The sequence below is a fragment of the Homo sapiens genome, chromosome 2, assembly GCF_000001405.40.
Source record: "Homo sapiens chromosome 2, GRCh38.p14 Primary Assembly".
NCBI lineage: Eukaryota > Metazoa > Chordata > Mammalia > Primates > Hominidae > Homo > Homo sapiens.
In genome coordinates this window covers 1,700,711-1,720,256 of record NC_000002.12, presented here as the reverse complement: position 1 = coordinate 1,720,256, position 19,546 = coordinate 1,700,711, and the positions used below count along the sequence as shown (strand labels likewise).

The 19,546-nt window shown below is 54.9% G+C and overlaps 1 protein-coding gene across 5 annotated transcripts in view, besides 8 other annotated features; it reads left to right on the top strand.

Annotated features, from left to right (window-relative positions):
• The window catches only part of PXDN (peroxidasin), a 113,015-nt gene that overhangs the window by 24,645 nt on the left and 68,824 nt on the right, over positions 1 to 19,546 (top strand). The window contains exon 1 of one of the 5 annotated variants that reach the window (XM_047445788.1): positions 12,429 to 12,486. The exons of the other annotated variants lie outside the window; for them this stretch is intronic. The gene's annotated coding sequence lies outside the window, so the exon portion shown is untranslated. Of the gene's footprint in view, positions 1 to 12,428; positions 12,487 to 19,546 lie in introns of those variants that run through there. 5 annotated transcript variants of the gene reach the window in all.
• Positions 6,134 to 7,113: an enhancer, noted in NCBI's record as "H3K4me1 hESC enhancer chr2:1716916-1717895 (GRCh37/hg19 assembly coordinates)". NCBI's record gives its function as "activates a minimal SCP1, AML or CMV promoter by ChIP-STARR-seq in primed H9 embryonic stem cells {active_cell/tissue: H9 hESC(primed)}" and the evidence as "EXISTENCE:reporter gene assay evidence [ECO:0000049][PMID:30033119]".
• Positions 8,532 to 9,038: an enhancer, noted in NCBI's record as "H3K27ac-H3K4me1 hESC enhancer chr2:1714991-1715497 (GRCh37/hg19 assembly coordinates)". NCBI's record gives its function as "activates a minimal SCP1, AML or CMV promoter by ChIP-STARR-seq in primed H9 embryonic stem cells {active_cell/tissue: H9 hESC(primed)}" and the evidence as "EXISTENCE:reporter gene assay evidence [ECO:0000049][PMID:30033119]".
• Positions 9,039 to 9,545: an enhancer, noted in NCBI's record as "H3K27ac-H3K4me1 hESC enhancer chr2:1714484-1714990 (GRCh37/hg19 assembly coordinates)". NCBI's record gives its function as "activates a minimal SCP1, AML or CMV promoter by ChIP-STARR-seq in primed H9 embryonic stem cells {active_cell/tissue: H9 hESC(primed)}" and the evidence as "EXISTENCE:reporter gene assay evidence [ECO:0000049][PMID:30033119]".
• Positions 10,092 to 10,736: an enhancer, noted in NCBI's record as "H3K27ac-H3K4me1 hESC enhancer chr2:1713293-1713937 (GRCh37/hg19 assembly coordinates)". NCBI's record gives its function as "activates a minimal SCP1, AML or CMV promoter by ChIP-STARR-seq in naive H9 embryonic stem cells {active_cell/tissue: H9 hESC(naive)}" and the evidence as "EXISTENCE:reporter gene assay evidence [ECO:0000049][PMID:30033119]".
• Positions 11,382 to 12,026: an enhancer, noted in NCBI's record as "NANOG-H3K27ac-H3K4me1 hESC enhancer chr2:1712003-1712647 (GRCh37/hg19 assembly coordinates)". NCBI's record gives its function as "activates a minimal SCP1, AML or CMV promoter by ChIP-STARR-seq in primed H9 embryonic stem cells {active_cell/tissue: H9 hESC(primed)}" and the evidence as "EXISTENCE:reporter gene assay evidence [ECO:0000049][PMID:30033119]".
• Positions 12,027 to 12,672: an enhancer, noted in NCBI's record as "NANOG-H3K27ac-H3K4me1 hESC enhancer chr2:1711357-1712002 (GRCh37/hg19 assembly coordinates)". NCBI's record gives its function as "activates a minimal SCP1, AML or CMV promoter by ChIP-STARR-seq in naive and primed H9 embryonic stem cells {active_cell/tissue: H9 hESC(naive and primed)}" and the evidence as "EXISTENCE:reporter gene assay evidence [ECO:0000049][PMID:30033119]".
• Positions 14,523 to 15,126: an enhancer, noted in NCBI's record as "H3K27ac-H3K4me1 hESC enhancer chr2:1708903-1709506 (GRCh37/hg19 assembly coordinates)". NCBI's record gives its function as "activates a minimal SCP1, AML or CMV promoter by ChIP-STARR-seq in naive H9 embryonic stem cells {active_cell/tissue: H9 hESC(naive)}" and the evidence as "EXISTENCE:reporter gene assay evidence [ECO:0000049][PMID:30033119]".
• Positions 15,127 to 15,730: an enhancer, noted in NCBI's record as "H3K27ac-H3K4me1 hESC enhancer chr2:1708299-1708902 (GRCh37/hg19 assembly coordinates)". NCBI's record gives its function as "activates a minimal SCP1, AML or CMV promoter by ChIP-STARR-seq in naive H9 embryonic stem cells {active_cell/tissue: H9 hESC(naive)}" and the evidence as "EXISTENCE:reporter gene assay evidence [ECO:0000049][PMID:30033119]".

The window sequence follows — 19,546 nt, the reverse complement described above, 5'->3', positions numbered from 1 at the left end:
TCTGCATCCCTCCCTCCCTCTCTCTCTCTCTGCATCCCTCCCTCTCTCTGCATCCCTCCCTCTCTCTGTGCATCTCTCTCTCTCTGCATCCCTCCCTCCCTCTCTCTCTCTCTGCATTCTTCCCTCCCTCTCTCTCTGCATCCCTCCCTCCCTCTCTCTCTGCATCCCTCCCTCCCTCTCTCTCTGCATCCCTCCCTCCCTCTCTCTCTCTCTGCATCCCTCCCTCTCTCTCTCTCTCTCTCTACATCCCTCCCCTCCCTCTCTCTCTGCATCCCTCCCTCTCTCTGTGCATCTCCCTCTCTCTGCATCCCTCCCTCTCTCTCTCTCCCTCTCTGCATCCCTCCCTCCCTCTCTCTCTGAATCTCCCTCCCTCTCTCTCTTTCACACACACACACACACACACACACACACACACACACACAATGCACGCATGTACACACATCCTGTGGTCTCCATTTCTCTGGAGAACCCTGACCAATCCAGTGTTCACGATGTGTGTCACATGACCTGGTCCTCCTGGACCGCAGCTGGTTGGAACCGGGTGGGCGCCTGACCCAGGACAGTGGTCCATGTGCTAGTCACTGATGGTCAGGCTTAGCCCAGCCAGTGCTGTCTCCTGAGAACTTGAACTTGAAAATGTTCAGGGATTAACAGCTGGCCGTGGGGGCTGAAACTGGAGGACTGTGGTGAGAATCCAGAGAGGCCCTGGAGGCCGCTGTTAGAGGCACAGGGGTGCTAGGGAGCCAAGCAGGCAGGTCGGCGGGGACCGGCGAGGAGTTCGATGCCTCCTGCAAGGCCAGTGTCCCCTCTTAGGTTCCATGTACCCTCAAGGCACACAGGCTTTGTGTGGTTTATGTAAGGATTCGTGCTGGGGAGAGGACCCTGAGCAGGGGCACAGACCCAGGAGGGCCTGGGACAGAGCCTGGCTGGGTTGGGTGCTGCCGGCTGCTGCCTGGGGAGGGCCTTTCTCCATGGGGTGTCCTCTTAGGGGATTGCCAGGCTGTGGCTGAGGGGTGAAGGTGGGTGGCTGCCTCCCCTGGCTCTGTTCCCACACGGGGAGCAGGTGGTGTGAGAAGGTGTGGAGCAAGCCCCCTTCCGAGTAACTCAGGTGGGAGGCATGGCCGCAGGGCCCCAGGCTGGCTCGCTCGTCTAAGGAGCCATGACTGCGCCAGTGCAGCCAGCCCCTGGCCCCTGGCGTCTCAGCTCGGCTGCTGTGCCCGGTGTTTGCCTTTGCAGGGACCTTGCGTGGCTGTCAGCGTGTCCTGGGTGTGCCCCTCACATGCCATCTGCGAGGTATGGTCTTCGGGGCTGGGCTTCCTCCACGGCCATAAGAACCCCTCTTTGGGCTGGAGTTGTGGCAAGTTGCTGGTGGCAGGTGCTGGGAGCTGCCCGCTCTGCCTTGCCCTGCCCTGGCCATTTCTTCCTCAGCCTGTTTGGCTGTGGCAGGCCAGAGCTGGAGACCAGGCTCAACCAGAGGACTGGACATCACCAGAGAAAGGATGCCTAGAAAGGCCTGGAGATCCAGCAGCCGTAAAGGGACCACACACGCCCTGCCCGCGTCACCCCGTGTTTGCTGCTCTGTGTCACCCCGTGTGTGCTGCCCTGTGGCAGGTTTGGGTGGTAGGTTAGTGGAGTAGGTTAAAAGAGTAGGTTAGGGTGGTAAGTTAGTGGCATAGGTTAATAAAGTAGGTTTGGGTGGTAGGTCAGTGGAGTAAGTTAGTAGAGTAGCTTCGGGTAGTAGGTTAATGGAGTAGGTTTGAGTGGTAGGTTAGTGGAGTAGGTTAAAAGAGTAGGTTTGGGTGGTAAGTTAGAGTAGGTTAGTAGAGTAAGTTTAGGTGGTAGGTTAGTGACATACGTTAATAGAGTAGGTTTGGGTGGTAAGTTAGTAGAGTAGGTTAATAGAGTAGCTTTGGGTGGTAGATTAGTGGAGTAGGTTTGAGTTTTAGGTTAGTGGAGTAGGTTAGTAGAGTTGGGTGGTAGGTTAGTGGAATAGGTGAGTAGAGTAGGTTTGCGTAGTAGGTTAGTAGAGTAGTTTTGGGTGGTAGGTTAGTGGAATAGGTGAGTAGAGTAGGTTTGCGTAGTAGGTTAGTAGAGTAGCTTTGGGTGGTCGGTTAGCAGAGTAGGTTAGTAGAGTGGTTGGGTAGTTGGTTAGTAGAGTAGCTTTGGGTGGTCGGTTAGTGGAGTAGGTTAGTAGAGCAGGTTTGGGTAGTTGGTTAGTAGAATAGCTTTGGGTGGTCGGTTAGTGGGTAGGGCAGGTTTGGGTAGTTGGTTAGTCGAATAGCTTTGGGTGGTCGGTTAGTGGGTAGAGCAGGTTTGGGTAGTTGGTTAGTAGAATAGCTTTGGGTGGTCGGTTAGTGGGTAGGGCAGGTTTGGGTAGGTGGTTAGTAGAATAGCCTTGGGTGGTCGGTTAGTGGGTAGAGCAGGTTTGGGTAGTTGGTTAGCAGAATAGCTTTGGGTGGTCGCTTAGCAGAGTAGGTTAGTAGAGCAGGTTTGGGTAGTTGGTTAGTAGAGTAGCTTTGGGTGGTCGGTTAGTGGAGTAGGTTAGTAGGGTAGGTTAGTAGAGGATGTCTGTGCTGCAGGTCAGTAGAGTAGTCCATGTGGTTCCAGGCTCAGGATCAGCTATTTTGTGATTCTGTCTGCATTATTAGAAGACCTTCTATAAATAAGTTTCCCGCATCAACAATTTGGTGACCTGATTCTTTTCATCTATTAGGTAAATTAGGTGAGTCTATTGTTGCAAGTTTTTCTTTTGTCAATAGGAGTTTACAAAGATTCAGGGGTGTGTGAAGTCTTTTCCGTTTGTGTGTGGACCCATTGTTTCCTGGTTGTGTGGTTACCAGTCAGGAAAAGCTGCTGAGCCCAGTTGAATCAGATAGCCCCGGGCGAGAGGCATTTGGACTGATCCGCAGAACCGAGAACAAAGAGGCCTTGAATAGTGGACAGACAGCAGCGGAATCTCTGTTCCCGTCAGACTTTCCACCAGCCAGTTTAGGCATTAATCTATTGTTAGGGGAAGGCCAAGAATTCACCAGCCAAGCAGGCTTTTTTTCTCAGGAGTGGCCTCAGCCAAGAGGATAGTGAGGGAGCTTTCTCATGGCCAGCGTTTCTAGACGTCAGATTTGGGGAGGCCTTAGCATTTTAAGATCGATGGCTGTGTTACATCAGATTTGTCTTCCCATCAGTATACAGACCTTAGCCAAGTTAAAAATGGGGAGTGTTGAGCGCAGCAGAGATCGTGCTTACCAAGGGGCTGTTGAGAGTGGGTCAGAGAGCAGGGTTTTGGGGACATGGGGCTGGATGGGGGCAAGGCTAGTGACGCCTTCTTTTTCTGCCCCTGTTGGGCTGTGTGACTTTAGGCACAGGGACCCACTTATCTGAACCTGTCCATGTGGTGTGAAATGAAGGAGTGGAACTGGGCTTCCTTTCATCATTTTCCAGCCCCTCATGTTTGTCCTTGGGGTCAAACAGGTGTGTCTGGAGCGGTTACCCCTGTACTGATGGAGAAGGGGCTGGGAGGGCGTGAGAGGTACCACCAGGGCATAAGGCCCCAGACAGGACCTCACTGTGGGCCCCACCACGTGATTGCAGGTGCCCGTCTCTTTCCGAGGAGGATGCTGCACACTGGGCCTCCATGCCAACCCCTTGCCCCAGGTAGAGGGTGTCCCTGTGCCCAGCCTGCCCGCCACCTCCCACGCTAGTCCTCCTTAACCACCAGCTTCCCACTGTACACCTCTTATATCCAGTCCTTGCCGCAGTCCTGGGAGGCAGGCGATGTTGCCACCCTGGTTTTTTTTTTTTTTTTTTTTTTTTTTTTTTCCTGAGATGGAGTCTCACTCTGTTGCCCAGGCTGGAGTGCAGTGGCATGGTCTCGGCTCACCGCAACCTCCACCTCCCGGGTTCAAGTGATTCTTCTGCCTCAGCCTCCCAAGTAGCTGGGATTACAGGTATGTACCACCATGCCCAGCTAATTTTTGTATTTTTATAAGAGATGGGGTTTCACCATATTGGTCAGGCTGGTTTCAAACTCCTGACCTCAGGTGATCCACCCTCCTCAGCCTGCCAAAGTGCTGGGATTACAGGCATCAGCCACTGTGCCCGGCCCACCACCCTGGTTTTATAGATACGTACACTGAGGCTCAGAGAGGCCCAGGCATCTGTCCAGGAAGCCACAGCCAGTCAGGTGGCACAGGTGGACTCTACCCCAGGCCTGCCTGTTGCCTTGTCTTTGGCCAACACTCCACCACCTGCCGTCAAATTAGAAAAGACCAACACTTGCTTGGAGCAGCTGGGTGAGGGCTATATTGTTTGCCTGGAAAAAACTATGTCTGTGTCATACGCACACATTGGGCAGCTGGGTGAGGGCTGTATTGTTTGCTGGAAAAAACTATGTCTGTGTCATACGCACACATTTTGGTTTTCCCGGGCAAGTACCTTAACCCTGAGTATGGAAGATATTCATCCTGCAGAGGTTGGGCTGGGCAGGGAGGTGAGGCCTTTCCATGAGTTACCTGCCGCTCTGGTCTCTGTGCTCAGAGCCTGGAAAGTGGTCCACTCTGCATTTCCCTGGCTGTTTCCATCTGCAGCTTGTTCGGCTGCTGCAAGCCAGGGCTGGAGACCAGGCTCCACCAGAGAGCCAGCCAACCTGTGGCTGACTTGCTGTGGTGCTTCTGGGATGCTGGGGACGACACCCGCCCGGCACCGTGGCGTGTTCCTTGAGTTAGAAGATACAGCCCCTTATTTGCACCTGTGTCCTGTTTTCATAACAGGAAGGCGTTTACAGTTTCTCAGCAGAAGCTGAGTTGAGTTCCCCCTTCTCTTCATCTGGGATTTCATTTGCATGATTCTGCTGGGAATTGGCTCCCGCTCCGTCGCTGTTTTTGTGGCTGTTTCTAATTAGACAGATGACGGCCTGCAGTATTTTCCCGGACATACTTAGCGGGAAATGTGGAGTTCCTGCAGTTGTTTCACGTGCCTGGTTCTTTAGCAGATGACCGTCGGCTCTTTCCCCTCTCATGACCCCACTGTCCTTGCCCTTAACCCCGGAGCAGGGTCTTTCTGGGGCAGAATGAAATGGCCTTGGAAGAAGTTTTCAGGAACGCAAAACTGGCCAAGTTTTTCTGACTGGAAGGCAGGAAAAATACTGATTTTATTTTTTAACACCCATGGAAGAAGTTTTGGATTATTTTTCCCAAAGAGTAAACTGTATATGCATGAACAAACAGATTTGTATTGTTTATTTGTAAGCCGGGGATGGGGGGAGGGGGCTTTGTATTAATGGGTGGCGTGTTCATATGTCGCCTAAAACCTGATGCTCCCAAAAGATAAATGCTAGACATAGGTTAATCTGGGACAGGGTGAGCAAGACAGGGCGCCAGGCCAGGCTCCCAGAGCCTGGAGAGGGACCCCCTACTTCCTGTGCCCTTGGCCAGGGGCCCCATCTGACCCAGGCCTGGTTTGTCCGGCCCAAGAGCTATGCACTTTGCATTTCTAAATGTCTGAAAAAAATCAAAAGAAGAGTAAATATTTCATGCTGTGGACATTTTATGAAATTGGAATTTCAGCACCATAAATAAAAGCTTATCGGAGCTTGGCCACAGCCACCGGGTCGCCTCTTCTGTGGCCGCATTCCTGCTGCAGAGACAGAATTCAGGAGCTGCAAGGCCAGGATCTGCACCTCAAGCAAAGATGTCCCCACCTGGCCTTTCAGGGAATGCACGCACTGGGCCTGCTGTGGGAGGGGCATTTCCCTGAGCGTGGACCCGCGGTCATTGCTGGGCGAGGATTGGTGGTGATGAGGAAGGGGTTGGAAGTTCTAGGAAGTGTAACTGGCAGGGTCCCTGCTCCCACAGTAGCCCCATCTTCTTGGCAGAGGCAAGACCTGATCTCCTCTCAAAGGCATGGGAGCGAGTGGGCCAGGGTGCCGGACCATCGGGGGACAGGGGAACCTTCCCAAGAGTGGCTCCTGGGGTTTTGGAGGGCTTGACCTGGGCTGGGGTTGACCCCTCAACTACCTACGCAAGGGTGCTGCGGGTGTGACGTGTAAATCCATAGTAATCAAGTGCAGATGTAAGAGCAATAAATGAGGTAGTTGAAAAAAACAGTATCCTGGATGTGGATGGGTGTTGTGGCGGGGAAGTCACCAAAGGTGACGGATGCGCTTTCTTGAAGCTGTTTATCCGAAGGCCATTTCCAAAGCCGCCAGTGCCAATATTATCGTAGGTTGCCCAGGCTGGGCCATGTTTCAGGGTGACATGAAACTTCACTGTCCCTTGAGACCCACGTGCCTGGCCCGCACAGGAGAGCCTGGGAGCCTGTGCCTTCCTGGCTCTGGGAGCTCCTTCCTGCCTGCTGAGGCACTCTTAAGTTCTCTTCTCATGTCTCTTTTTAAGCAATACCAAAAAAATGGGGTCAGTGAACACCCCAGGACACTTACGGGGAGATGCAGTGCTCTGCAGCAGGCTGCATTGGGTTGCCTGGCTGCCCACCTCTTACCTCTCAGGGGCCCGGGGCCTCAGGTGCGCCCCTCAGTCTGTGCCCCCATGCTCCGGAGGCACTGCAGTGGCTGCAAGGACCAGGAGCACACGAGCATTCGGGGGGACCGAGGCTCCCGCCCACCCGGGGTCCATTTGGAGGTACAGCCCCTATGCGGCCACCCTGGGCTATGAGGGAGACAGCCTCTGGTGCTGGAGCGGCCAGTGGGGAGAGGCGGCCCCCAGGGCTCTCCTGTCAGAGGCAGGTGCCCCTTCTACTCCTCCCCAGCCTGCAGTCACCCGCAGGAGTCTGGAATGGGTTTTCCAGGTGGGGATTTTGCTTTGGACTGGAGGCAGGAAGACCTCTGAGCCGCAGATTTCCTGGGTGCCTCCTGTCAGATCCACCTGCTTCTTTTCGCAGGGATGGAAGCCCGGAGGCCAGGCTGAGTTACCACAGCACAAAACTGTAGCAGGGAGAGGCTCAGCCTTCTTTCTTCTGTGGTAATTGATCGTTGGTGCAGAAAATTAGAGTTGCTTTAGATCTCGCTCTGCAAGGCTCTGGGGAGCGTGTCTGAATCCTGAGGGCCCTGCTTGTGACGCGAGAGAGGTGGGAGGGTGGCAGGGGCCTTGTGCAGCGGCTTGGGGACTCGGGCCCCAAGATCACCAGGTCTAGGAACCAGGGGCCACCTGTGTGACTCATTCATTTACTTTTAATTAAAGGAGTATTCTTTTTAAGAAAAAATATACAACATACTCCAAAACGGCCGGACACAGTGGCTCACGCCTGTAGTCCCAGCACTTTGGGAGGCCAAGGCGGGTGGATCACCCGAGATCAGGAGTTCGAGACCAGCCTGGCCACCATGGTGAACCTCATCTCTACTAAAAATACAAAAAATCAGCCAGGCCTGGTGGCGGATGCCTGTAATCCCAGCTACTTGGGAGGCTGAGGCAGGAGAATTGCTTGAACCTTGGAGGCGGAGGTTGCAGGGAGCCGAGATTGCACCACTGCACTCCAGCCTGGGCAACAAGAGCAAAACTCCGTCTCCAAAAAAAAAGAAATCTAAAACTAAGAATAACGGTTTCCCTGCCCAAGTCTCATCCGACCGTTTTCATTTTAGTTCTGCTGCTGGCCGCTTTTCCACCACAAGGCCGCCATGTGTGACCTCCTCTACTTCAGGCCGTCCCTGGGGATTCGCTGCTGGGAAGAAGAGGAATTTAGCAAATTTAGATTTCCACTCTTCTCCCCTTTCTGCCTGTTTGGAATTTTGTTGGTTATGTGATCTGACATGAACCAGGCTCCTGACATTTCAACTTGACCCTCCAAACAGTTGTCTTCCACAGTCTCTCTATAGGCTGATTATAAAAAGTTGAACCCAGTAAAACAAGGTTTACTGTTATGATTATTTTAAGACATGATGCATTACAAAAAAGTGAAACATCACCTTAAGAAGAAAATGATATTGTCATTAAATCCCAGAGAAGCCTAATATTTAAATATTATGACTGCATTTTTACATTTGCTGATTAAACTCAGAAACCTAAAATCGTAATAAAAATTATAATGTAGTTCTTCCTTTCAATTTGTCAGTACTTTGATTTACTTCCCAGTCTTCTTTGTAAATAGCTTTCTGTCCTATGCTTTTAGTATTATCTCAGTTCCTTCTTTTCTGAGTCTATATTAATTGGAGAGAAAAAATGGCTTTTTTTTACCCTCGTTGATCTTGATCAATATATATTCCTCAACATTTTCATTGACAAGAATTTTAAAATAATTTACTGGATGATTACTTGAGAGTTGTGTTAACCTGACATCTTGTCTTGGGAAGCTGAGATGGGAGCCGCTGGTTGAGTGAAGCAGAGCTTTGGATGAGGAGGACCTCCTGGGTCAGCCTCCTGCCTCCTGAGAGAGCAGTTACAAGTCCAGGCCCCTATTTATAGGGAGCTGAGATCTCCACAGACCTGAGTGAGGATTTGGTTCGTGGCTCCCAAATGCAGTGGGAGCTGGCTGTTTAGGGGCGTCATCACCACCAGAGAGCCTCCACCAGCACTTGCCTTCCCCCAGTGGATCCTGCAGGTGGCCCTCCTTTTATTCAGCCTAGTGGTTCGGCAGGTGCTGGTGGAGAGTGGGTGCTGGTGGAGTGGGTGCTGGTGGAGCGGGTGCTGGTGGAGAGTGGGTGCTGGTGGAGAGTGGGTGCTGGTGGAGTGGGTGCTGGTGGAGAGTGGATGCTGGTGGAGAGTGGGTGCTGGTGGAGTGGATGCTGGTGGAGTGGGTGCTGGTGGAGAGTGGGTGCTGGTGGAGCGGGTGCTGGTGGAGCGGGTGCTGGTGGAGAGTGGGTGCTGGTGGAGTGGGTGCTAGTGGAGAGTGGGTGCTGGTGGAGAGTGGGTGCTTGTGGAGCGGGTGCTGGTAGAGTGGATGCTGGTGGAGCGGGTGCTGGTGGAGAGTGGGTGCTGGTGGAGCGGGTGCTGGTGGAGCGGGTGCTGGTGGAGAGTGGGTGCTGGTGGAGAGTGGGTGCTGGTGGAGCGGGTGCTGGTAGAGTGGATGCTGGTGGAGTGGGTGCTGGTGGAGAGTGGGTGCTGGTGGAGCGGGTGCTGGTGGAGCGGGTGCTGGTGGAGAGTGGGTGCTGGTGGAGCGGGTGCTGGTGGAGAGTGGGTGCTGGTGGAGAGTGGGTGCTGGTGGAGTGGGTGCTAGTGGAGAGTGGGTGCTGGTGGAGAGTGGGTGCTTGTGGAGCGGGTGCTGGTAGAGTGGATGCTGGTGGAGTGGGTGCTGGTGGAGAGTGGGTGCTGGTGGAGTGGGTGCTGGTGGAGCGGGTGCTGGTGGAGAGTGGGTACTGGTGGAGCGGGTGTTCATAGAGTGGGTGCTGGTGGAGTGGGTGCTGGTGGAGAGTGGGTGCTGGTGGAGCAGGTGCTGGTGGAGAGTGGGTGCTGGTGGAGTGGGTGCTGGTGGAGTGGGTGCTGGTGGAGAGTGGGTGCTGGTGGAGTGGGTGCTGGTGGAGTGGGTGCTGGTGGAGAGTGGGTGCTGGTGGAGTGGGTGCTGGTGGAGTGGGTGCTGGTGGAGAGGGTGCTGGTGGAGTGGGTGCTGGTGGAGAGTGGGTGTTCATAGAGTGGGTGCTGGTAGAGCGGGTGCTGGTGGAGAGTGGGTGTTCATAGAGTGGGTGCTGGTGGAGAGTGGGTGCTGGTGGAGAGTGGGTGCTGGTGGAGAGGGTGCTAGTGGAGAGGGTGCTGGTGGAGAGTGGGTGCTGGTGGAGTGGGTGTTCGTAGAGTGGGTCCTGGTGGAGAGTGGGTGCTAGTGGAGAGTGGGTGCTGGTGGAAAGTGGATGCTGGTGGAACGGGTGCTCATCTAACATGTGTCACCTCCAAAGGCTTCACACCTCCTAATACCACCACCGTGTGCTGCTGTCTCCAGCTGTCCCCCAGAAACGCTGAGCCCCCAGCGGCCTGGGTCTGGGTGTTTGTAGATCCATGTGCTACGGTCAGACTTGAGCAAGTTCCTGACCTTCAGGCTTGGGCAACACCTGTATTTATAGACGTGGCCCACACCTACCAAGTGAGCAGCAGACGGCAGCTGTTCTTCGGCGTGTGTCTCCTTTGACACAGCAGTGCCATTTCTAGGAACCTGTTTCATAAGTATATTAACACGCATCACAGATGGGATGTACCGAAAGCTTGTCATTGCAGGGCTATTTATAATAGTGCAAAACTGGAGGAACCCAGATGTTCTCCTCTCCGCAGCTGCGTGTGCTCCTCTGGTGGGCTGGGTGGCGGGAAGGGCTTGGAGACAGTGTGTGCTGTTTGCATTGGGCAGCCTGGGCAGCCCCACAAACACCATGGATGGGGCAGCTTGAATCACAGATTTATTTTCTCACAGTGGTGGAGGCTGGAAGTCTGAGATCAAAGATGCCAGCAGAGTTGGGTTCTGGTGAGGGCCTCTTGCAGGTCTGCAGATGATGGCATCTCTCTGTGTCCTCACATGGTGGAGAAAGAGAAACACGCTCTCTGGGTTGCTTCCTCTTCCTAGAAGGACACGAATCTCATGATGGGGCTTGTTCTCAGGACCTCATCTAAAGTGCGTGGCCTCCAAAGCCTCCCCTCCTGATAACACCACCGCGTGGGGGTGACAGCGGGAGGACCGATGGGAGCCGCCTTGCCGGCCTCCTGGGGCCGGGCAGGTGCGGAGTGGGAGCGCAGTCAGGAGCGCATCTTGTTCAATGGCCCTGACTTTGGAACCTTCAGAGTGTTTGAGATAAAGAAAGGGAAGCTCCAAGCTGGCTCCGGCTGTCCCTTAGGCATGCTGCACCCCAGCCCTGCTGCACCCCAGCCCCGCTGCACCCCAGCCCCGCTGTGGCTTCCGTTAGAGGTCCTTTCCTCACCCTGTCTTCTGTGGGGCCGTGCACAGTGTCCATTCAGCAAACACCACACACCCTGCCCTCGTCAGATCAAGCACCCGCACTCTGGGGCCCTCTCTGACCCTGCAGCCATAGCTACTCCCGGGCCTCCTCCTGAGCCTTTCACTGCAGCGAGCGCCGTGGTCACCTGCTGGTGCCTGGCCTCCTCCTCACCGAACAGCAGTGCTCGTGGTCCCCGCACCTGTGGTCAGCATTGCCCATGAACTGCAGATGTGTCGCTAGTACCAATGAGTGAGCGGCGAGCACAGGGGCTGGGATATTCTTTGCAGTTCCACGGGTGGGATCAGAGCCAGGGCGCAGGGACCAGACGGAGCCTGGCTCCCGTGGGGAAGACCGGCCACCAGCTCCCTCCCGCGGTGAACTGGCAGCCTCAGCAGATCATGCCTGTCACCGTGCTGTCTGTGAAATCAGACAACACCATGGTCAAGGGCGCTGCAGGACTGTGTTTTGGAGCCAGCATTCTGCATCATCAGTGACTCCTTAAAAAAACTGTACTTGATAAAACCTGTACACGTAGAGAGGTTCTTAACAAACCCAGCCGGGCACACCAGACTCCACGTGCTCTTGGTGATTTGTGTCTCATACAGGAAGTGAGGTGATCCAAATCGATACCATAAAAGATGTCCCCGTTTCTATGAACTGGGCGTGCCCAGTGCCCGTGCAACTCAGATGCCTGGGAGAGGAGGTTCCGTCACACCATGGCCTGGAGGTGAGGGCAGCTCAGGGAGCTCTCACTGTTTCTTCCTTGCGGGGCGAGTCGGGGGTTCTGGGTGCGTGACTGCATCAGGGACCCCTCTCCCCTTCCTCTGCCATCGTGGGTCAGGGCGGAACCTCCCCGGCCTCTGTTTCTGCCTCTGTAAAGGAGGATTGAGAATCACTTGGGCTTCTTATGACTTTTGTCATTCTAGTCAGGAAGAGGCTTCCTGCGAAGGGCGGAGGCTGACTGGGTTCTTGGTGTTTGGGTGGGATTGAGCAAAGCCCTTCAGTCCATCCACAGGGGGCCTCAGGGGCAAACTCCAGGCCCAGACCAAAGAGGAGCTGCTGGAACATGAAAGGGCGAACCTCTTTTAAATCCAGGAGCTTTGTCGGCTAAAGCGTCCTGCTGGGTTGTAAGAAGCATGTTTCCCCCTCTTAACTAATTGCAGAACAATGGCAGGGACAGAGGGTGCGTGATGAGACCTGGGCCTGCGCCAGGGCACATGCCGACAGCCAGCCCAGCCCCACGATCTCAGCTCCAGCAAGGCCAGCTCCAAAACAAACACCAGCTCCCGGGTTTACTTGGCGGGGAGGTGGGAGGATAACTTGAGAAGTCCCATTCATCCTGCAGCTTCCAGGCCTGGGCGTGCCCCCCTTGTTCTCGGGACAAAGCTCATTGTTCCAGCTGGAGAAGAGCTCCGCTGAGGATTGCCTGCGTTTGGTTTCCGTTCTCTCGCTTTGTGTAACTTTCCAGTGCCTTAAGAGTTCCTCTTTAGCCCTTAGGGTGCTGACGTAAGTGTGGTAAAACGTAGATCCTAAATGGGCTCCTCTTAAATGGTGATTCTTCTTCCCTTTAGACAGTCACCGGCATGCTGCTAGGGGAAGGATATCTGCAGATCGTCGCTTTCGGCACCTTGGTACGAATCCCTCCTCTGCACCAAGTTTTAATGAAGAACCCAGAGTGTGTTCATTCCCTGCCTTGTGCAGGGAAATGTCTTCCCCTTTTTTGTCCTCTTCTGTGTAGTTATTGCGTCTTTGACAGCTGATAGCCCCTCCGCAGGGATTTCTTTTGTTCCATTTTTGGAAGACTTTTGGCAACCTCGTGCTTCCAAAAATTTGGGTGAAAAGTGTGGGTTGATTATTTACACAAAAGTCAGACATATCACAATTAAATCATAATTTCTTTCTGATTACTTCGATTTGACAGTTTGATGTTCAGAAGGCGTGGATGAGGCATCTGGGATTGATGAGCAATGCAGCATGCTCTCAGTTTGTATTATTAGTGGGGCAGGTGATGCTTAGAGCTGATTGGTGAGCACTGCAGCGTGCTCTCAGTTTGTATTATTAGTGGGGCAGGTGATGTTTAGAGCTGATCGCTGAACACTGAAGCGTGCTCTCAGATTGTATTATTAGTGGGGCAGGTGATGCTTAGAGCTGATTGGTGAGCACTGCAGCGTGCTCTTAGATTGTATAATTAGTGGGGCAGGTGATGTTTAGAGCTGATCGCTGAACACTGAAGCGTGCTCTCAGATTGTATTATTAGTGGGGCAGGTGATGCTTAGAGCTGATTGGTGAGCACTGCAGCGTGCTCTTAGATTGTATAATTAGTGGGGCAGGTGATGTTTAGAGCTGATCGCTGAACACTGAAGCATGCTCTCAGATTGTATTATTAGTGGGGCAGGTGATGCTTAGAGCTGATTGGTGAACAGTGAAGCGTGCTCTCGGATTGTATTATTAGTGGGGCAGGTGATGCTTAGAGCTGATTGGTGAACAGTGAAGCGTGCTCTCGGATTGTATTATTAGTGGGGCAGGTGATGCTTAGAGCTGATTGGTGAACAGTGAAGCGTGCTCTCGGATTGTATTATTAGTGGGGCAGGCGATGCTTAGAGCTGATTGGTGATCACTGAAGTGTGCTCTCGGATTGTATTATTAGTGGGGCAGGTGATGCTTAGAGCTGATTGGTGAACACTGCAGCGTGCTCTCAGGTTGTATTATTAGTGGGGCAGGCGATGCTTAGAGCTGATTGGTGAACACTGAAGCATGCTCTCAGATTGTATTATTAGTGGGGCAGGCGATGCTTAGAGCTGATTGGTGAACACTGAAGCGTGCTCTCAGATTGTATTATTAGTGGGGCAGGTGATGTTTAGAGCTGATTGGTGAACACTGAAGCGTGCTCTCAGATTGTATTATTAGTGGGGCAGGTGATGCTTAGAGCTGATTGGTGAACACTGCAGCGTGCTCTCAGGTTGTATTATTAGTGGGGCAGGTGACTGGCTTCTGGCAATGCCAGCAGGATGTAAGATTCTGTGGCTTGCAGTGAGACCGTGTCCGATTTGTGACTTAAACAGTTGTTACTGCACTTGCTCCCTGGAGGACTTGATATCACATGGAGGCAGGACTGTGACCCAGTGAATACCAGGCTGCCAGTGGGACAGGGAAGCCCCACCCTCCCAGATAGATCTTTAGGTGCTGGACAGACCAGCTCCCAATTTCATAGAATAACCCGGGAGCTCCTAACTCTCACTGAAGGTCAGAGACGCTGGGACGGTCTCTGGGTTTGAGAGCCCAGGAATCGGAGGGCAGGGTAGAACTTGAATCTGGCATCCAGTCGGATCCAAGTTCTCGCTCTGACTGAGGTCTGGAGACCCTGAAGAAGCTGGATCAGAGAAGCCAGTAGCCTTGACGGTGTCCAAGCCACATGGATGCCTGAGCGGCAGGGCCTGGAGTGCCTGGGGGAGGCCGTAATGGACGGAGAACTGCTCCTTGTAGCCCCACACTCCACGCGGGAAACTCTCCAAAAGGGCTGGTGACACTCCACGCGTCCCAGGTCGTGGGCAGCCGTGCCCTGCACCCTGCGTCCCAGGTCATAGGCAGCCGCACCTGCATCCCAGGTCGTGGGGAGCTGCACCCTGCATCCTGTGTCCCAGGTCATGGGCAGCCGCACCTGCATCCCAGGTTGTGGGGAGCTGCACCCTGCACCCTGCATCCCAGGTCACGGGGAGCTGCACCCTGCACTCTGCACCCTGCGTCCCAGGTCACAGGGAGCTGCACCCTGCACCCTGCGTCCCAGGTCGTGGGGAGCCGCACCCTGCACCCTGCGTTCCAGGTCATGGGGAGCTGCATCCTGCACTCTGCGTCCCAGGTCGTGGGCAGCTGCACTCTGTACCCTGCATCCCAGGTCGTGGGGAGCCGCACCCTGCACCCTGTGTCCCAGGTCGTGGGCAGCTGCACCCTGCATCCCAGGTCATGGGGAGCTGCATCCTGCACCCTGTGTCCCAGGTCATGGGGAGCTGCACCCTGCACCCTGCATCCCAGGTCGTGGGGAGCCGCACCCTGCATCTGGGCTCATGGGGAGTGGCACATGGCTGCCTCCTACATTCACCCCTCCCAACCCCAGCCTTCATGGAGGGAGTGTCTTCAGTGGGTCATGTGGGTTTGGGAGTGAACTGAGCCGGTCTGCCTCTCCCTCAGGGGAGGCCCAGGGCCCCTGGGATGTGTGCAGACATGCTCTGCTCTCACGGCTCCGGGGAGGCCCAGGGCACTGGGATGTGTGCAGACGTGCCCTCTGCTCTCACGGCTCTCACGTGATGGGCAGTGCCGGGCGACATCAGGGTTGAGCTCTTAGTACTGTTGTCTTTTTTTCTGTAACTTCAGTTAATTTTTAGTTGGTTACTAACTAGCTCGTGTGTGCATCCTCTCATTACATCCTCAGAATACACTGACGGATGATGCATCATCTGCTCTTATTAATGTCATGTGATAATGGTTGCTCCCCAAGACTTGTATGAAAAGAAAGTAAGTCTTGGGACCCCCAAATCACTAAGTTAAAGGGAAGAGTCAAGCTGGGAACTGCTCAAGGCAAAGCTGCCTCCCATTGTATTCAAAGCCACCCTCTGCTCACCGAGACATGCATATCTGACTGCATCCCTTGGAAAAGATCATCAGAAACTCAAGACAGTGCAGCCATTTGTCTCTTATCTACCTGTGACCTGGAAGCTCCCTCCCCTCTTGGAGTTGCCCCCCCTTCACCTGGAGCTGCCCCCCCTTCACCTGGAGTTGTCCCCCCCTTTACCTGGAGCTGCCCCCCTTCACCTGGAGCTGTCCCCCCTTCACCTGGAGTTGCCCTCCCTTCACCTGGAGTTGCCCCCCTTCACCTGGAGTTGTCCCCCACCTTCACCTGGAGTTGCCCTCCTTCACCTGGAGTTGCCCCCCCCTTCACCTGGAGTTGCCCCCCTTCACCTGGAGTTGTCCCCTACCTTCACCTGGAGTTGCCCTCCTTCACCTGGAGTTGCCCCCCCCTTCACCTGGAGTTGCCCCCCCTTCACCTGGAGTTGTCCCTCTTTCACCTGGAGTTGTCCCCCGCTTCACCTGGAGTTGTCCTTCCTTCACCTGGAGCTGTCCCCCGCTTCACCTGGAGCTGTCCCCCCCTTCACCTGGAGTTGCCCCCCTTCACCTGGAGTTGCCCTCCCTTCACCTGGAGTTGTCCCCCACCTTCACCTGGAGTTGCCCTCCTTCACCTGGAGTTGCCCCCCCTTCACCTGGAGTTGCCCCCCTTCACCTGGAGCTGTCCCCCCTTCACCTGGAGTTGCCCTCCCTTCACCTGGAGTTGCCCCCCTTCACCTGGAGTTGCCCTCCCTTCACCTGGAGTTGCCCCCCTTCACCTGGAGTTGTCCCCTACCTTCACCTGGAGTTGCCCCCCCTTCACCTGGAGTTGTCCCCTACCTTCACCTGGAGTTGCCCTCCCTTCACCTGGAGTTGTCCCCCACCTTCACCTGGAGTTGCCCTCCTTCACCTGGAGTTGCCCCCCCTTCACCTGGAGTTGCCCCCCTTCACCTGGAGCTGTCCCCCCTTCACCTGGAGTTGCCCTCCCTTCACCTGGAGTTGCCCCCCTTCACCTGGAGTTGCCCTCCCTTCACCTGGAGTTGCCCCCCTTCACCTGGAGTTGCCCCCCCCTTCACCTGGAGTTGCCCCCCCTTCACCTGGAGCTGTCCCCCGCTTCACCTGGAGCTGTCCCCCCCTTCACCTGGAGTTGCCCCCCTTCACCTGGAGTTGCCCTCCCTTCACCTGGAGTTGCCCTCCCTTCACCTGGAGTTGCCCCCCCTTCACCTGGAGTTGTCCCCCACCTTCACCTGGAGCTGCCCCCCCTTCACCTGGAGCTGTCCCCCCTTCACCTGGAGTTGTCCCCCCTTCACCTGGAGTTGCCCCCCCTTCACCTGGAGTTGTCTCTCCTTCACCGGGAGTTGTCCCCCGCTTCACCTGGAGTTGTCCCTCCTTCACCTGGAGTTGTCCCTCCTTCACCTGGAGCTGTCCCCCACTTCACCTGGAGCTGTCCCCCCCTTCACCTGGAGTTGCCCTCCCTTCACCTGGAGTTGCCCCCCTTCACCTGGAGTTGTCCCCTACCTTCACCTGGAGTTGCCCCCTACCTTCACCTGGAGTTGCCCCCCCTTCACCAGGAGTTGCCCCCCCCTTCACCTGGAGTTGTCCCTCTTTCACCTGGAGTTGTCCCCCGCTTCACCTGGAGTTGTCCCTCCTTCACCTGGAGCTGTCCCCCCTTCACCTGGAGCTGTCCCCCCTTCACCTGGAGTTGTCCCCCCTTCACCTGGAGTTGCCCCCCTTCACCTGGAGCTGCCCTCCCTTCACCTGGAGCTGCCCCCCCTTCACCTGGAGCTGTCCCCCCTTCACCTGGAGTTGTCCCCCCCTTCACCTGGAGTTGTCCCGCCTTTCTAGACTGAACTAAATTCATCTTACATATATTGATTGATGTCTCGTGCCTCCCTAAAATGTATAAAACCAAGCACTTTGAGAGGCCGAGGTGCGTGGATCACCTGAGGTCAGGAGTTCGAGACCAGCTTGGCCAACTCGGTGAAACCTCATCTCTAAAAATACAAAAAATTAGCTGGGCGTAGTGGCGGGTGCCTGTAGTCCCAGCTACTCGGGAGGCTGAGGCAGGAGAATTGCTTGAACCTGGGAGACGGAGGTTGCAGTGAACCGAGATCACGCCAGTGCACTCCAGCCTGGGCGACAGAGCGAGACTCTGTCTCAAAACAAAACAAAACCAAAAGAAAACAAAAAAAACAAGCTGTGCCCTGAAGACTTTGGACATTTGTCGTCGGGACCTCCTGAGGCTGTGTCATGGGCATGTCCTCGACCTTGGCAAAACAAACTTTCTAAATTGGCCGAGACCTGTCTGAGATATTTGGGGTTCACACATGTCACTGGGGTGGCATCTGTGACATGTGGGAGAGTCAGCCTCTGTCTCCTCTTCTCTCTTAGAGCAGCTCCTTGCCCCGTCCATGCAGCCCTGGTGGGGCCTGCCCCAGGCTGAGGCTATTCCCTGCGTCCTGGAGGAAGCCTCGGTGACAGGGGACACTGTGCCGGGGTTGGGGGGGTGGCACCTGGCAGGGGGAGAGGATGGGCAGGACCCCAATTCCCGTTGCCTGGAAGCCAAGATAGATCTTCACTCCACTCAAGCCTCCTCTGCTCCTTCTGCCTTCAGGTATTTGCGATACTCCAGGATCCCACAAGAAATGACCCTCACAGCCAAAGGATTGAGGCCAGGTTTCTTTAGCTGAGGGCCAGGCAGGTCCTGACTAACGTAATTTGATCTCATTAATGGTATTAGTGGGCGTGTTATGTCTTACTCCGTTCAGGCGTCTCTGAGGAGCCATAGGCGGGGCAGCCTGTAAACACAGCAGCAGTTACCAATTCACCCCTGCAGCTCTGGAGGCTGGAAGTCCAAGATCAAGCACCAGCCAATTGGGTGTCTGCTGAGGGCCACCCGGGTTCAGAGAAGGGACCTTCTCCTCGTGTCCTCTCACATTGTGGACAGGACAAGACCGCTGTCGGGGTTCTTTCATAAGGGCAGTCATCCCACCCTGGGGGCACCACCGCCATAGCCTCCTCACCTCCCAGAGGCCCCACCTCCCAACACCATCCCTTGGGGATTAGGTCTTAGCACAAATTTGACGGGGTGCGAACGCTCAGTCTGCAGCCGTGGGGGCTCAGGGAGCCATGAGCACTACCACTGGACCCAGGCAGCTGGACACCCCTGACCCCATCCTGCGTCCCCCACCCCATTCCGCACCTCCCACCTTGAGCCCGCTTCTCTGCGGCTCCCCTTCACCCGCAGGGGAAGTAAGGGGCATCCTGAGGTTTCCCACCTCAGTGGTCCTACCCACTCTTCCTCCAAAATACACCCTTGCCCTCCACTCTGGGCACCCATTTCTCCTGCGACTGCCGGTGTGCAGGCTTGAAACTCGTCCGTGCCCTTCATGTCACTGTGGCCGCCTGCACGAGTGGCTCAGGTCACATATGTTAAGTACAGAAGCGAGTACATTATGAAGTCCTAATCCTTCACAGACTTCAGTGGGCCACGTGAGACTTCCTGACATTCACCCCAAGTGCATGGATGTACTCACCCCTGTGGTAAAGCACTGCCATCTGTGACTCTCGGAACACAAGCTCTGAGTGTTGCTTCAGTGATGAAAGGCAGTCCTTAGTAGGAAGCACTGAAGCGATTTTAGGTCAGGCAAATGTTAATGGAAAACCACATGGCCTGGCTTTGGGATGCAGCTTTTCAAACTCCCCCAGCCTCCCACTTTCAGCAAGACTGGGACGGGGAGATAGGACTCAGCCTCCCGCCTTTCCCAGCGGGGCCAGGTGGTGGCTTCTGTCCTGTATTCATCCTGGGAGAGGGCGTGTGGCATCGGTTATAATTCCAACCTTTAAAATCAGTAAAGCACTTTGCATATTTGCCTCTCTGAAGCAGCACAGTCTAAGAGCCTTTGGGTTATATTGATTTTTTGTTGTTGTTGAGACAGAGTCTCGCTGTGTCGCCCAGACTGGAGTGTAGTGGCTCCATCTCAGCTCACTGCAACCTCTGCCTTCCGGGTTCAAGTGATTCTCCCACCTCAGCCTCCTGAGTAACTGGGATTACAGGTGTGCGCCACCACGCCTGGCTAATTTTTTGTATTTTTA